The sequence below is a fragment of the Homo sapiens genome, chromosome 14, assembly GCF_000001405.40.
Source record: "Homo sapiens chromosome 14, GRCh38.p14 Primary Assembly".
Classification (NCBI taxonomy): Eukaryota; Metazoa; Chordata; class Mammalia; order Primates; family Hominidae; genus Homo; species Homo sapiens.
Genome location: NC_000014.9, coordinates 94,424,792 through 94,442,345, shown reverse-complemented (window position 1 = coordinate 94,442,345; position 17,554 = coordinate 94,424,792).

Genomic DNA, 17,554 nt, shown 5'->3' with positions numbered 1-17,554 from the left:
GCCTCCCAGGAGATGTCCACCGCTGCTGCCACCATTGTAGATATTTGTTGAGCATCCTTTGGGTAAGGGTCATAGTGAAAAACACAGGGGGCATCAGCAGGAGTAAGCCAGTCTTTCCCTTCACAGTGGCCAATATGGGCTGTACAGACAAGAGAGGTTGTCCTAAAATGTCATTGCCCAGACATCAGGGGCTAGATCCCCTCAAGAGGAGGTTGGACCTGTGTCAGGGCTCCAAATTACAGCCCATGTAGAAAAGCAGGTGTGCAGATGGGCCGGCGTAATCACGGGTCAACCTGGAGGGAGGTCAAGTTCAAGCAGCAAGAACAGCGTGTCAAAGCCCAGGGCAACACGAAGACCAAAGAAAGCAGGAAGGCAAACATGGCCGGGAGGGATGATGGACATAGGGCAGGGTCAGTGGGGTGAATTGAGGGCCATATTGAATTGCGATGCAGCCTCCATTAGAGATCGAAAGGCTACTCTTCCATGTGTGCCTCTCCAAGAGGCATTCATTTGAAAGTAGTGGGGAAGCAGAAAGAGATGCCCAGCTGCATGTGTGTACCACTTGGATGACAATACCCATCACTACAATGAACTCCGTGCCCAGACACGCAGCAGGGTAGGATATAGGTGGTGCATGTCTAGGAAGGAGCCATCCCAGAAAGTGCTACAGTGGTGGAAACCCCTGACCCTACTCCAAGGAGGTGAGGCTCAGATCCTGAAGACCAGGTAAGCTTTAAATAAAGAGAAAAGGGTAGGATAGTCTGGGAGAGGGCAGGGGAGAGATGCGATCGGCAAAAGCAATGGGTAAAGAGAGGAAAAGGTATGCCCCAATAAAATGAGAGAAAACCAGCTTTGCAGCCATGGAAAGTTCAGGTAGGGTCATGGTGGAAGGTAGTGCTAGAGAGGTGTTCAGAGATAAAAGGCTGGAGGCTTTGGGTCCCCGTGGAGTGAGTGTGAGCATGGCCTTGTAGACAGTGGAGAGTAGCTGTAGGCCTGTGGGCAGATGTGGATGTGGACAAAGTAGTGATGGGGAAGTCATCTGTCAATTGGGCAGAGATAAGAAGGAGTAGGGTGCGGCCAGGGTAAGGCCCAGCCGGGATGGCACCATGAGGTCCATTTGACCACTGACCATGCTGCATGCAGGGCTATCGGAGCACATGCATCCACTGCTTCAACACAGACTTATTAAACACCTCCTATGCCAAGCATTGGGAATGCAGCAGTGAACAAAACAGATAATAGGTCCTGCCTACATGGGGCTTACATTATAGCAGACAAAACCCGGCAGTAAACAAAACAAGTAAGTAAAATATGTGCTGTTTGACAATAGCAAGGACAAGGTCTTTGTGGTCAAGAATATGCCCAGGAAAGTCCCTACAGTGTACATGAAGGGGCAGCTGGCCCCTGATGGTGACAAAGTGGATTGCTCAGTGGCAAAGCTGGATTTAAGCCCAAGGCTGCAATGTATCCACATTCATCCTTCTTGATAAAAGAAAACTGCAACTGAAAGATCCCTCCCTGTCATGTCTTCTAAGAAAGTGGCACTTGATTGAGACCAAAGTAGTCAGTGGTCTGAAGATATTCATTAACTGTCATGGAGGTATGGACCAACCCTTCAAGGCTTCTGTCTTCTGCACCCAGTGCTGCATAGGGAATACACTGTTGAGACAAGTCTTGTGTTCACTCCATGTTAGACACCATTATAAGCAGTTGACAGATGTCAATAAACTTTCTATTTCCAACAGTCATGAGAGGGAGGCACTGCTACATCTTTATCTTACAGGTGGGGAAACTGAAGCAAAATGTGCTAGCATGTGCAGAGCCTGGATTTGAACCCAGGCTGTTCATCTCCACAGCCCACATGTTTCATCTCTATGCCACACTTCTTTTGTGAGCACAACTCAAAAGCCCTTCAGCCACGCCTCATTGGCTGCCATACCACAAGGATCCAACTCCCAGGGTCATAGGAAGTGGGAGAGGGAAGAAGCCACATGAGCAGTAGCATCTGGGGAAGACTTTCTAGGGAAAGACCCAGAAGCATGGATGGAAAGTTGGTGGTTTAAGAAGCACTGATTGAGGACAGGGATGTGCCCTTTGTTGTTTATTTCTGTATTCTAGTACAGAGACTGGCATAGGATAAGTAAAAAAACCTTTTCTACCTTAATGCTGTGAGGGGAAGTTGTGTCACATGGCAGAATTCCATGACAAAGACTCAGAGGCAGGAAAGAAAGCACCCTGGTGAAGGACATGATATAAAGGTGCACTAAGTTTTGGGAGAAAACTTAGTGGGAGAGGCCCCGCTCTACTCCAAGCTGTGTAGACAGCACTCTCTCTCTCTTTGGCCTCTTCCCTTCCTTTCTCCTTGGGAAGCCAGTTGAGGCAGGCTCCCTGGACTCTAGTAACATCTTACACCCTTCAGCTGGCTGGACAACCTTGGACACATTGCTCAACCCCTCTGTGCCTCAAGTTCTTCTGCAAAATGGAACATGCAAACCTTGCTTTAAAGAATTGTGGAAATCAAATGAATACATAAATGTGAAACATTAAGCACTTGAAATCCACTAGGTGCTCAATGAAGCTTCCTTCTGGCCCCATCTTTTGGCTCCTCCAACCGTCAAGGGTGCTCTTCAAGGGTGCTCTTTCCTCCCACAGAGCAGAGTTCCGTACCAGGTAATGCCAAAATCCCCCCAGTGGTCACTGGCCACATAACTACCTCCCAGCGAAACCATGAAGGCTGCACATCAAAACACAAATGTGTTGATGGAGAGGCCTCAGGGGCCTTATCTGGGCACTAAAAGTGACATCTGCAAAACAGAACCATTCTTGCTGCAGGAACATTAGCTATGACACTGTGGCACTAAGTGGGGGAACGCTGGCCCAGGGATCAGGGCTGAAATTGCAGAGGCTCACGTGAAGGAGAGCCACATGATTTTCTCTAGAAAAGCATCATTGTTAGATTGTTCACTGGGTTTCTTCTCCTTTTTCTCCCTAAGATAACTCCTTCAGTCATCTGTGAATTAGGTAAGAGTCTCCCTAAGCGTACATTTCAGATGTATTTACACTCCAAACCAACCTTTTAACCACCTAGAAGAATGGACCATTTTCAAGATAAGTCAACAGCCATCTAAAATTTATATTTTCAGAGATCTTGCGATGCTCTCTGTGGTGGAATTGAACCATCTTTGTAACGCCATAGAGTCCCAGGTATATTTATTTTGACCCTGGAATGGAGGTAAATGGCTTTCAATGTTGGGACTAATGCCCTGGCCAGTTACAGCCAATATGAACACACAGGTCCAAGTAATGAAAATATCACTAGGGACACTGGTGTCTGTCACTCCACCTCAAGGTTCCATGTGTATCATAGAGACCATGAAAATATTCATAAAATTTCTATTCCCTTTATTCTGGCCATGAACAGAGCTGAGACCTTTAAAGTTTTCTATGTATGGGTGGGTCTGTTTCTAGACTGTCATTTACAATTCTATTGAATGATTTGTCTTTCCTTGTGTCAATACTACGCTGTCTTATTTAACCTAGCTTTATAAGTCTTGATATTATGTCAAGTCCTCCAGCTTTGTTTATAGAAGTATTTTATTTGCTTATGTTGTTTTGTTTTGCTTTCAATGTTTGTTTTTTATCCTGCCCACTCCACCAATTCTGGTTACAGTGGCTGGTGACTCTGTTTCTCCAGCTGCCCCACCCCTTCTCTTCCCACACTTATATAAGCCTCAAGTCCTATGTTAAAACTTTTTATTTCACGAAGTATTTGGAGTGTCTCTGTTTTCCTAACCCATATGAAAACATCTTTGTTCTGCCTTCATGCTTGAAGGATATTTTCACTGGGCACACAATTTTAGATAGCCAGATGTTCTCTTTCAGTGTTATAAAGATGTCACCCATTTTGACTTTCATTATCTGAGTTAAAAAGTTATCTATAATTACTATTATTATCCTTTGCAAGTAATCCACTTTTCCTTTTGGCTGCTTTAACATTTTTCTCTTTGTTTTTGTCTTTCAATTGTTTTCAAATGATATTCCTAGGTATAGTTTTCCATGTATGAATCCTAATTAATCTTAATCTTAATTAATCCTAATTAATATTAGGGTTCATACACCTTCCTGAATATGTGACTTGATGTCTGTTTTGGAAAATAGATACTATCTCTTTAAAAATTGCTTCTATTCCATTTTCTCTTCTTTCTCTGGGACAATCAAACATATATCAGACGTCTTCATCATGTGTCATGTCTCCTTCACACTTTTCTGCATTTTCTATTCTTTTTTCTTTCCGTGTGTAATCTGGATGCTTTCTGCATGCCTATCTTAAACTTCTAGTCTTTTCTGCTATGTTTGATCTGCTTTTAAATAAATCTATCAAATTCTTAATTTCAGTTCTTTTGATTTTTAGTGCTCGGGTTTTTATTTTACTCTTTTTATGCATTTTTGTTCTCTATGAAATTCTTTATATTTTGTTCCATCTTATTACACAGAATGATCAAGGTTGTTTTAAACCCTGTGTTTGATAACTCCAATATCTGGATCACCTGTGAATCTGTACATTCTATTCTATGTTTTTCTCTTGGTGTTTAATCAGTTTTTCTGTTACCTGGAATGCCTGGTCATTTTCACTGAATGCCACAAAGTGTGTATCAAAAATTATGTGGCTTTGGGTAATACTATCTTCCTCAAGAGGAGAATTTATTTTCTTCTCAGGCAGATAGAGTATAAAAAGACTACTTTGATTCAGCCAAGGATGGATTTCAGTCCTTTGGGGGTCTGGTTTATTTCTTTTGGGCCTTACCCCTATAATGTTGTCTTTGGGAGATGTCAACTAAGAGCCTGGGCTATTTGTGAGGGCTCCTCCCCGTTAACATGTTTATATACCAATTTTTGTCTCTTCCCTTCTGTGAGGCTGCTAAAATCTCTGCTCTTCTAGCAGGTGGCTTTTGCATGATTATTTGCTGTCTCATTCCGCACACGCATCACTTATGAGGCAGAAAATTACCTTGAAGGGAAATTTCATGCGGGACATTGTATCAGCTTCATCATGATTATCTTTTATCTAGAAACTTGATCCCTTGAATCCTAACTACGTGTTGACTCTGAATTCCAATTTTTGTTTCTCCAGCCCATTGACACTATTAAAGGCTCTAAGCCAGCAACCCCCGATCTTTTTGACACCAGGGACTGGTTTCATGAAAGACAATCTTTCCACAGACTGGTGCTGCAGGGAATAGTTTCAGGATGATTCAAGTACATTACATTAATTGTGTACTTTATTTCTCTTATTACATTGTAATATATAATGAAATCCTTAAACAACTCACCATAATGTAGTAGTACTAGTGGGAGCCCTGAGCTTAATTTCCTGTAAGTAGACGGTCCCATCCAGGGGTGATGGGAGACAGTGGCAGATCATCAGGCATTAGATTCTCATAAGGAGCACATAACCTAGATCCCTCACATGTGCAGTTCACAATAGGGTTCACGGTCCCATGAGAATCTAATGCCACTGCTGATATAACAGGAGGTGGAGCTCAGGCAGTAATGCGAGCAGTGGGGAGCTGCTGTAAATACAGATGAAGCTTTGCTTGCTAGCCCGCCGCTCATCTCCTGTTGTGAGGACCAGTTCCTAACAGGCCACGGACTGGTACCAGTCCATGGCCTGGGGAACTGGGGACTCCTGCTCTAAGCGACTGTATTCTGTTCACCTTTATGCCTCAGACTTAAAACCAGCAAAAGTCCTAGAGTAAAAAGGCAGCAGCAAATGTAAGCCTCACCTCAGTGCTGTTCTCCTCTCTCTGGAATCTCCTCCCAATTCTTAACTTATCGCATTCCTCATTGTGCTCCAGTACCTTCAGCCATCTAAATTTTATATTGTATTTGTCTTTTATGATTTTCTTAAGGAAGGGTTAATCTGACACTAGCTTCTCTGTCATAGTTAGAAACCAGATATTTTCTTAATAGAGCAAAGAAATCCCAATCTATAATGCTGTGCTGGCTGTACTAACCCCATGTGACAGTAATTTCATGTGTCACCTGACTGAACCATGGAGTGCCCAGATCTTTGGTTAAACACTATTTTAGGTGTTTCTGTGAGGGTGTTTTTGGATGACATCAATCTTTAAATTAGTGGACTTTGCAAAGCGGGTTACCCTTGTAATACAGGCCAGCCTCATCCAACCAGTTGGAGACCTGAATAGAACAAAAGGCTGATCTTCCCCCACGTGAGAGATAATTTTCCTGCCTAATAGCCTTCAGACTGGAGCAATGGCTCTTCCTAGTTCTATAGCCTCTGGTTGTCAGACTCAAATTGAGATATTAGCTCTGCAGATTTTGAACTTGTCAGCCTCCAAAATTGTGAGCTAATTCTATATACATATAATATATGTAATATATATGTTAAATATATATATATTATTGTGTGAGATGATCTTTGGTAGTAAGATAGGTTGTTTTCTCTTTTCTGGATCTTTCAACATTGTAGAATAGGGTTTATATTTTGTCTTTATTCATGGATGTGTTAAAAACCAGTGTGCCACTAAGACTGTAATATGGCAGGGATCTGGAAGCACTCATGTCCTACTCCAAATCACAGCACCACCTCTCCAGGAGATTCCCAATGGAGGAGATGTGTGAACCAAGTGAAAAAGGCAAATGGGAGTCCAAGGTTTGTTGTTGTATTCATCCATTTTCATGCTGCTGATAAAGACATACCAGAGACTGGGCAATTTACAAAAAAAAAAAAAAAAAAAAAAAGAAGTTTCATGGACTTACAGTTCACGTGGCTGGGGAAGCCTGACAATCATGGCAGAAGGCAAGGAGGAGCAAGTCACACCTTACATGGATGTCAGCAGGCAAAGAGAGAGAACTTGTGCAGGGGAACTCCTCTTTATAAAACTATCAGATCTTGTGAGACTTATTCACTATCACGAGAACAGCATGGGAAAGACCTGCTCTATGATTCAATTACCTCCCAAGGGGTCTCTTCCACAACACACGGGAATTCAAGATGAGATTTGGGTGGGGACATAGCCAAACCACATCAGTCATGTTGCTGGCTATGGCTTTGAACCAAGATCATTCACAAAACCTTGGCCAGCTGAGCTGAATCCCCTGACATATACCTGAGACCCAAGGAGACTATTCTCCACAAAACCCAAACCCAAATCTTGGATCCTCCTATTAAGATGGTCTAAAATAGAAAGCCAGTGTCAGGTGGAGGAATGAAGGAGTGTGAGATAAAAATGTAACCAGAAAACAGAGTTAGAAAGAATACGTTTGCCCCAGTGCTTTGTGCTGACTGTGCGGTGTGATGGTTGTCCTGTCCTGGCTGCTTGTGTAAATCAGAAAGTCCTTCCCACAGTCAGAGGAAGGAATGACTGAGCATGCTTGAAGGGCTCTGGCCAGGGCTGACTTACTACTGTATTAACAGTTATATGGGGATGTTAGAAAGTGATGAGGTGGTTGAACTTTCTTCTGTGTGGAAAGAGAGCCAGACATGAGAGCACATCTTTGCACTGACATTTCAACCCATGGGATTTACACCCATGGGCAAAATTCCAAAATCTAAGTCCTGAAAGCAGTTTGTAGGCTACCAATTTAAAATACATTTAAAAGTTCAGACTACTAAATGTTTAAATGATATAAAGATAGCCTGGGCTAAGAAGTCCATTGACTTCAGCATCAAATAGAGTAAGATAAATAAGGTGATGGGCGTGGTGGCTCACACCTGTAATCCCAGCACTTGGGGAGGCAGAGGCAGATGGATCACTTGATGTCAGGAGTTCGAGACCAGCCTGGCCAACATGGTGAAACCCCATCTCTACTAAAATACAAAAGGTGGCACATGCCTGTAGTCCCAACTACTTGGGAGGCTGAGGCAGGAGAATGGCTTGAACCCGGGAGATGGAGGTTGCAGTGAGCTGAGATTGCACCATTGTGCTCCAGCCTGGGTGACAGTGCAAGACTCCATCTCAAAAAAAAAAATACACACACACACACACACACACACACACACACACACACACACACAGTATCCCTGAATCACGTGCATTTAGGGTAATGCCTTGATTAGCTTCCTGTTTGAGGGAAAAAATGTTTCTCAGAGTAAGTAGGATTCTGCAGATAATGAGAACTCTCAACCTAAGCTTCATCACATACCATTTACATGGAAAGTGGCAATGAGAGAGAAAGATGTTGAGCTCACATCTATTGCCCCAACATCAAAGGCCAGCCCTGCCCCCTGCTGGTTACCGAGGCTCATTGCTGCATCCTAGAAGCAGGTCAGTGCCCCTCTCCTCCCATGAGGCTGGGCTGAGGAGGAGTTGTGGGAGGGTAGGTGTCTTAGTCCATTTTTGCTGCTGTAACAGAATGCCAAAGACTGGGTAATTTATAACAAACAGATATTTGTTTTCTCACAGTTCTGGAGACTGAGAAGTTCAAAATCAAGGAGCCACATCTGCCAAGGGCCTTCTTGCTGCAAAACAACACCCATTCATAATAAAAAGTCTTAGTAAACTAGGAATAGAGGAGAATTTCCTCAGCTTGATAAAGCATCTCTATGCCCAACATTTGCAAAATGAAAACCAAGCAGATTCTCCAAAGATAAGTTTATTGGGGAATGAGTATTGCCATGGGGATTTCTGTGGGCATATTCAGTGAAGCAAAGGAAGACAAGGGCTTCTAAAGATAAAATGAAGAAAGTCATATAAGCTATTCTCAAATAATTATCTATGGCTACAAGGATCAATAACAAGGCTAGTGTCAGTCCAAGTTTAAACATGCAGTTGCTGAGCAGATGTTGTCACAGAAGTACTTTTTTATAAGATCGTACTGGTCTTTGTGCAAGGTTGTGATTTTGACAGAGTCTTTTGTGATAGTTCTTGTCATCATATATAAGACTCTCTCTTCATGGCCTTCCCAAGCTCCATTTTGTTGGGGTTTGACACAAGTGACTCTATTTGATTCTGACAATTTTCACACATTATACTCAATGGTAAAAAAAACTGGAAGGCTTCCTATTAAGATTAGGAACAAGACAAGAATATCATCGTCTCACCACTTCTTTTCAATATCATACTGGAAGTCCCAGTTAATTCAGTAAAACAAGAAAAGGAAATAAAAGCTATACAGATTGGGAAGAAAGAAATAAAGCTGTCTTCATTTGCAGATTACATGATTGTGTATATAAAAAATCTGAAAGAATCAACAAAATAACTTCTGGAACTAATGAGAGATTTTAGCAAGGTTGCAAGACACATGGTTAGTATACAAAAGTCAATTGCTTTCCTATATACCAGCAACAAACAAGTGGAATTTGAAATTAAAAACACAATACTATTTGCATTAGCAGTCAAAAAAATGAAATACTTAGGTGTAAATCTAACAAAATACATGCAAGGGCTGTATGAGGAAAATTTAAAAACTATAATGAAAGAAATCAAAGGAGAACTAAATCAATGGGGAAATATTCCATGTTTATGAATAGAAAGACTCAATATTGTCACGATGTCAGTTCAACATGATCTATGAGTTTATTGCAATCTCATACTAAATCCCAGCAAGTTATTTTGTGGATATTGACAAACTAATTCTCAAGTTTATATGGAGAGGCAAAAGTCTCAGAATAGCCAATACAGTATTGGAGGAAAAGAACAAAATTGGAGGACTGACACTAGCTGACTTCAAGACTTACTGTAAAGCTACAGTAATCAAGACAATGTGAAATGGGAGAAAGACTATACAAATAGATCATTGAAACAGAATTGACCAACCTGGAAATAGGCTCATATAAATACAGTCAACTGATCTTTGACAAAGGAGCAAGGGCAACATAATGGAGAAAAGACAGTCTTTTCAATAAGTGGTGCTGAAACAACTGAACACCCACATGCCAAAAAAAAAAAAATGGACCTAGACACATAACTTACACCCTTCACAAAAATTAGCTCCGAATGGCTCACAGGCCTAAATGTAAAACATGAAGTTATAAAACTCATAGACGATAACAGGAAAAAACCTATGATTTGGGGGCATAGCAATGACTTTTTAGACACAACACCAAAGGCACGATCCAGGGAAAAAATATGGATAAACTGGACTATACTAAAATTAAACTTCTGCCTTTCAAAAGACATGGGAAGAGAATGAGAAGGTAACCCACTGACAGGAAGGAAATATTTTCATAAGACACATCTGATAAAGGACTGTTGTCCAAAATACACAAAGAACTCTTAAAATTCAACACTAGGAACACAAACAACCTGATTACAAAATGGGCCAAAGACCTTAACAGACATCTTACTGAAGAAGATACAGAGATGACAAATAAGCAAATGAAAGGATGCTCTATATCATATCTCATCAGGGAAATGCAAGTTAAACAACAATGAGATACCACTATATATCTATTAGAATGACCAAAATCCAGACCACCAATAACAAAATGCTGGCAAGGACATAGAGCAACAGGAACTCTCATTCATTGCTGGTGGGAATGCAAAATGGTACAGGCACTATAGAAGGCAGTTTGGCCATTTCTTACAAAACTAAACATACTCATACCATATGATCCATCAATCACATTCCTTGGTACTTACCAGCAGGAGTGGAAAACGTACGTCCACAGAAAACCTGCATACATCTATAGCAGATTTTTCATAATTGCCAAAATCTGGGACCAACCAAGATGTCCTTCAGTAGACGTATTAGTCCATTCTTGCATTGCTATAAAGAAATACATGAAACTGGATAATTTATAAAGGAAATAGGTTTCATTGGCTTGCAGTTCCGCAGGCTGCAGAGGAAGCATAATGCTGGCATCTGCTTGACTTCTGGGGAGGCCTCAGGAAACTTACAATCATGGCAGAAGGCAAAGGGGGAGCAAGGCATCTTACATGGTGGAGTAGAAGCAATAGAGAGAGGGGGGAGGTGCCACATACTTTTAATCAGATTGCATGAGAACTCTATCATGAGAACAGTACCAAAGGGAGAAATTTGTCCCCATGATCCAATCGCCTCCCACCAGGCCCCACCTCCAACACCGGGGATTACAATTCGACATGAGATTTGGGTGGGGACACAGATCCAAACCACATCAATAGGTGAATGGCTAAATGAACTGTAGGGCCGGGCATGGTGACTCACACCTGTAATCCTAGCGCTTTGGGAGGCCAAGAAGGGCAGATCACAAGGTCAAGAGTTCAAGACCAGCCTGACCAACATGGTAAAAACCCTGTCTTTACTGAAAATACAAAAATTAGCCGGGTGTGGTGGTGCGTGCCTGTAATGCCAGCTACTCAGGAGGCTGAGGCAGGAGAATCTCTTGAGCCCAGGAGGCGGAGGTTGCAGTGAGCCGAGATCGCGCCGTTGCACTCCAGCCTGGGTGACAGAGCAAGACTCCATCTCAAAAACAAAAAAAAATGAACTATAGTACACACAGACAATGGAATTATTCAGCACTAAAAAGAAACTAGGTATTAAGCCATGAAAAGACACGGAGGAAACTTAGTTGCATATTACTAAGTGAAAGAAGCCAATCTGAAAAGTCTACATACTGTGTGATTCCAACTGAAACTAGCCCAATTGTCTCATAGAACTAATATTTACAATTTTTCAAATAAATCTAGAAATTGACCCTTCCAATCTTAAAACTTGAAACTTACCTTTGAGTTCCTTCCTCAGGAAACTGACCCTCAATCCAAGAACTGAAACTCACCAGATCACCACATCAAGACAATGAGACGCAGACCCCTCATTCATCATGATTGCTTCCTTACCCCTCCCTAATTCCTGTTTTCCTGCACATAGCTACATTCCCCATTATATAAACCCCAGATGTTAGTTAGTTAAGGGAAATGGATTTGAGGGTTGGCACCCATCTCTCTGACTGATGTCACCCAAATAAAAAGCCTTCCTCCCTGGCAATACTCATTGCCTCAGTGATTGGCTTTCTGCGTAGCCAGCAACAAGGACCTAGATCAAACCTGTGGTCTTTCGATAACACAATTATATGACATTCTGGAAAAGGCAATACTGTGGACACGGAAAAAAAAAAAACAACCTCAGTAGTTGCTAGTATTGAAGTGGGGGTAAATAGGCAGAGCACAGGGGATGTTTATGGCAGTGTAAGTATTCTGTATGATACTATAATGATGGAGACATGTCATTATATGTTTGTCCAACAAGTATAATATACAACTTTATATATTGCACATGTATGTGTGCCCATAGAATGTGCAACACCAAGAGTCAACCCTAATGTACATTATGGACTTTGAGTGACTATGATGTGTCAATGCAGTTTCATCTGTTATAACGAATGCACCGCTCTGGTGGTGATGTTGACAATGTGGGAGGCTATGCATTGGTGGGGCCAGTGAGTATATGGGAAATCTTGGTACCTTCCTCTCAATTTTGCTATAAACCTAAAACTGCCCTAAAAAAAAAAAAAAAGTCTTGGAATAAAAAAAAACCCAAGATGCATATCCTTGGAATGTAATCATAAAGTTAAAATTGATCACTCAAAAGATACATAATTTACAGGATATTGAATCATGGCTTCCAGATTATTTTCCAAATGAGTTGTATCAAATCAGCTGGGTAGCCATAGTTGATTTGAATTGTAATCATTTGTAAATCAAATTTTTATATACACTTGAATCTATTTCAAGTGTATCTATTGAATCTATTTCAAAGTGATTCTTTGTTGGCTAGGGTGTCTGTGGTCCTGTACCTTGGTACCTCATGTGTTAATAACTGTAAATGTATTAAAAGAAGTCCCTCATATTGTTCTTATTTTAAAAACATTTTCCACAGTTTCTTAATGAAATAATTCTGTTATAGGTAGTTAGGCATGAGTGGGGCCCAGAGAGGGGTCTCCCACCGACCCACTAGACATGTCGGGTGATGGTTTGGCAATTATCGCACTGCCTCTCTAAAAGTGGTAAATTGGCAGCCGGCACCAGGAAGAGGCCATTTCCTGACAGTCCACACCTGTTAACATCAAAATGTTAATTGAATGTAGATCCCAGGGAGAAGCAACTTCCTGGACATGCACATGGCTAAGTATGATCTCCCAGGTACACACCGCGGGAAAAGAGAAGAAACTCTCAGATGGGCGTGCATTTATCTCCCTAAACACAATTGCAGGTGCTCAGTTCCAAAGGGTAAGGAAAGTACTGCGCATGCGGGAAGCCCACTCTAAGGGAAGTATCATGGGACAGAGACAAGACTGTAAAGTTCTAGGGTCAAGGTTAAAGGCAGCTCCTTTTTCTTTCTTTGACCTTAAGGTGCCCACTTGGATCTCTTCCAAGGGCTCTTTCCTTTCTTTCCTGTTCTAAAGCCTTTTTAACAGACTTCCACTCCTGCTCTGGAGCTCTCCTCACTCTCTTTTTCTGCTTCATGCCCCCTGGCAAATTCTTTCTGAGGAGGTAAGAATTGAAGTTCCTGCAGACAAGTACGGATTCACTGCTGGTAACTCAGGGTAACTCCGATCTCTTCCACTGTAACACTTCCAAATGAATTTTAGACTCCCTTTGTCCAGAGTCCAAAAAAAAAAAATCCTGCCAAGTTGTTGATAGGATTGACACTGAATATAAAAATCAGTTCAGAGAAATGTACATTATATGCACTGTAGAGTCTTCCAATCTAAGAACACAGTGAATCTCTTCTCTTACTCTCATCTTTATGTGGCCCAAGTTTTCTTTTTTATTCTTCTAAAGCTCCTGCATATTTCTTGCTAATATCATTCTTAGATGTTTTCTATATTTTGTTCCTTTTGTGCATAAGGTCTTTTCTTCCATTTTCTGGCTGCCTTTTAAACTATATGTAGGAAAACTATTGACTAACTTCATAACTGACCACTTTAAAATTTTGAGCATGTTAATTGTGTCTAATAACTTTTTTTGTTTTTTTTTTTTTGCTTGGATTTTCCAGCTCTATAATGCAAGCCATTTATATACAATTACTTTCTTTCCACAAAATAATTTATTTCTCTCAGGGCCAGAAATGGAGGGAAGGGAGCTTCTTGAAGTTTGGATTTGCAAGCAGGGTGAGGGCATAGCAGTAAAAGGAAGTGTTCTCAGCAAAAGTTAGCCTTGGATGAAAAGTTCGAAGATTGGATTTTTACTCTCCTGGTCCAAAGACTCCAATCGGTAGAGGCACAATTCATGTGCATCCATAGAGAGGGGTGACTTTGTGTACAAAACAACTCCTGGTTAGAAGTTCCTTTTTATCCTCTGCCATATCAATGCTGGTGGCGTCTGAGTGCCCCCTGACTCAGCCTGGGAGAACAACCTTCTCTTCCAGGTGGAAGATGCCCGTCTGCACTCCACGGTGCTGCCCAGCCTCTCCTATCCCCAGTATGGGATTCAGAGCAGCTAATTATGTTTGTGCCAATGTACTTGGTCAATGTGAAATGCAAGGCTACTTTCTTGAAGTGACCTGCAGAGTCTCTAACAGAACAAGTGGAGAGAAGAGACCAAGAAGATTTCATTTATTTCCTCTTGATTCTTATCCTGCCCAGAGACCAACGGTGAGATTTCAGCCCACAGTGTCTTGGTAATAATAACGCCCAGCAGTGTGGCTACTGAGGGCTGGAACCACCCTTTCTGGCTAACTGATATTTTAAATTTTTTAAAAACTTTGTTGTTTCCTGCGGGTTTTCAATTCTACAGAAAGGGTTTCTTATTCATTTTACTTTTCATCTTATGTTCCTCCTACTCTCAACCAAAGGTGCTCAGGAGAGTTATTTACAAATGGAATGATTACTTCCATTATCCTGCAGTGGAAAAAGAAAAAGATAAACTGCCAGTGGGGTTGTGCAAATTGTGTAAAGAACAAAAATTCTAATGGCTTTTTTGTCTAGTTCTAACGATTTGGCAAGTAGTTAAAAATAACCCTGAAAACCATTAAAATTTCTGGGAAGTACATTGGTTCAACTTTAATTTTCTGCACCGTCGGGCAGACTCAAACACTGGCTTTTGGTGGCGGGGGGGCTTGTTTAACTGCAGTGCTTTATCACTCTTTAGTTGGATTCCCATAGAAGGCTTTATCACAGATCTATTGTACATGTGGGTCTTCTTTCTACTTGCTTTGAAGCTGATTCCCACACATTTTTCACAAACCTCAAAGACAAGCTTCTACATGCCCTTCCCAGCTTCCTCTGGAAACTTTCGATTCTAATCAAAACTTCTACCAAGTAGCTTAAAAGAACAAGAGGCCGTATAAAGTGGCAGCGGGAAAAAATATATATCTACATACAGGCTTAAATCCCAGCCCCACGACTTAATACGTGATGTTGGCAAGTTACTTAAACTCTCTGAGCCTCAGTTGCCTTGTCTGTAAAATGGGAATAAAGATGCTTCCATTTTATTAATGATCTTAATAATGAACCCCTTTGAGTGTTAAATATGTGTGTCAGGTACTTAGCCAAACACTTTGTATGTGTTATCTCCTTTACTCCTACAATAATTTTTGACTTGGTTGCAATGATCATCTTCCTTTTACAGGTAAAAGAACAGAAGCTCGGAGCCTTTCAGTAGCTTGTAGTTCAGGTTCCTGGAAAACGCAGATTTGCATGCAAGAAGTTTATCAGGGAACACTCTCAGGAACAACCTCTGTGAAGGAGCAAGAAAAACAGGTTTGCACCAAAGGAAAACTTCAACGCAATTGCAACAGCAATGTCAGATTGCACAGGATGCTCTGTAATGGAGATATGCCAAATGAAATTGAAGAGGAGCGAGCCTTTGTACCCCCACATCAACCCATCACTGGTGCAGATTTATCCCCAGAGGGGTTGTCACTTTGGGCATGGCAGCTTCCTACAGTAGAAAACCATTTTCAGAGAGAAACAAAACCATGAGCTGTCAGCAGCTAATACTGTTGGCAGATAAATTAATGAGAAATTTAGTCCTAAAGGGGCATCTGAGTGTAGAACCACAGCATCCTGTACCCAAACATCACAGAGATGGGAAGAGTTGGAGCCAGAATGGAAGTACTGATCTGCCTGGTTCCAAAGCTTGTGCTTTGATCCACTCTCCTGCACCACGTTGTTGCCTTCAGTGAAATAGAGTACATGAACTTCCTGAAACATAGTAAGGGCTAATTAAATGTGAATTTCTGTATTAATTTAGGAATAATCAGGAGACAGAAACCATATTGCGATTTAAACAAGGGGAGTTCTATATAAAGAATTATTAAGTTATGGTAAAAGAGTAACTATAATACGTAAGAGAACTCTACAGAATATTCTAGGGCTGATGGAGAATATCCAAAGGACAAACTTGGTAAGGAGGTTCCACTTTCCAAGGGGATCAAACCTCATTGGAGAAAGGGCTATTGCAACACACTGGGTGTCAGAGACATTTGCTGGTTTTAGTAGGCCGGAACTGGTCCACAGTCCCTGGGCAAGCAGGAAGCAACCCTCTAAGGCACACATAGGCCACAGTCAGTGGCTGTTTATTCAGGCATATGGAGGGAGTAGGGGCTCTGGTGCAGACAGGAGGATATGTGGTGTCTGTGTTAGGAGGGCCACAGCATCAGACGGGCCATGGAAGACCAAATGCTGTAGGAGAAAGCTAGCAGAGGGACACGGGGCACCAGTGCTTAACATCTTGCTCACTGTGAAGAAGAAATGCTTGAAGGAGGCCCTTCCATTATCATTGAGCACATATCAAAGGGTGAATTTGGAGGTGAGAGGGAGTAAAATGATAACTGACACACAGAAACATTATCGCAGATTAGTTCTTCAACAAGTCAGAATTATAAAGAGACCCAATTATTTTAATAAAAAACTAATTCAGAGACAAAAACCTGCAAACCAGCTAAAACCATGTCCCTTTCCATGGCTGACCCTTCACCCTCCATCTACTGATAACCTACTAGCAGTATCTGTTTGCCTTCTGAATATAATCTAAGATGGCATTTGAAAGAGCCTAAAAACCTGTCGGACTTCTCTTTCCTGTGCCCAGATTCAAAAACAGGGACAGAAAGTAAGTTTCCTGGGTGCAAGAGAGTCAGAAAAGGTCAATAGAACCAAGTCCCTCTTTGGAACATTGATGGGAATGGCCAGTAGAATCACCAGTTTGTTTCTTGGAACCACATACTTCTAGGTGATATGGCCCCTGCTGCTTTTTCTCTTAATATTTCACCCTTCTTTATCCCCACCGTAAAATTGGTTGACCTCATATCAGACTCCAGAGAAAAGAAGAAAGTTATACACTGAGTTAAAACTCTCAGATAAAATTAGTGACTTGCAATTTAGAAAGAGTCTAGCACTGTGTATAAATTAAGATGTTTTCTTGTATTTGAATATTCTATTTTATTCCCAGGTTCTAGGTCTTACATTAAGTCAGTTTCAGAAAAAGTATAAAAAATGATATGCCAGAATGCTATTTTAGCTCACAGAATTCTGAAAAAGATGTTCTGAAATAATATTCCCTGCACTTATACCCCCAAATTGCTTTGCTCCTGCAGACCTAAGTTTGAAACTGGTTTATCCTGGAGGGAGTTCACCTCCCACCCAGCCCTCTTTGATTTCCTGTCAGCC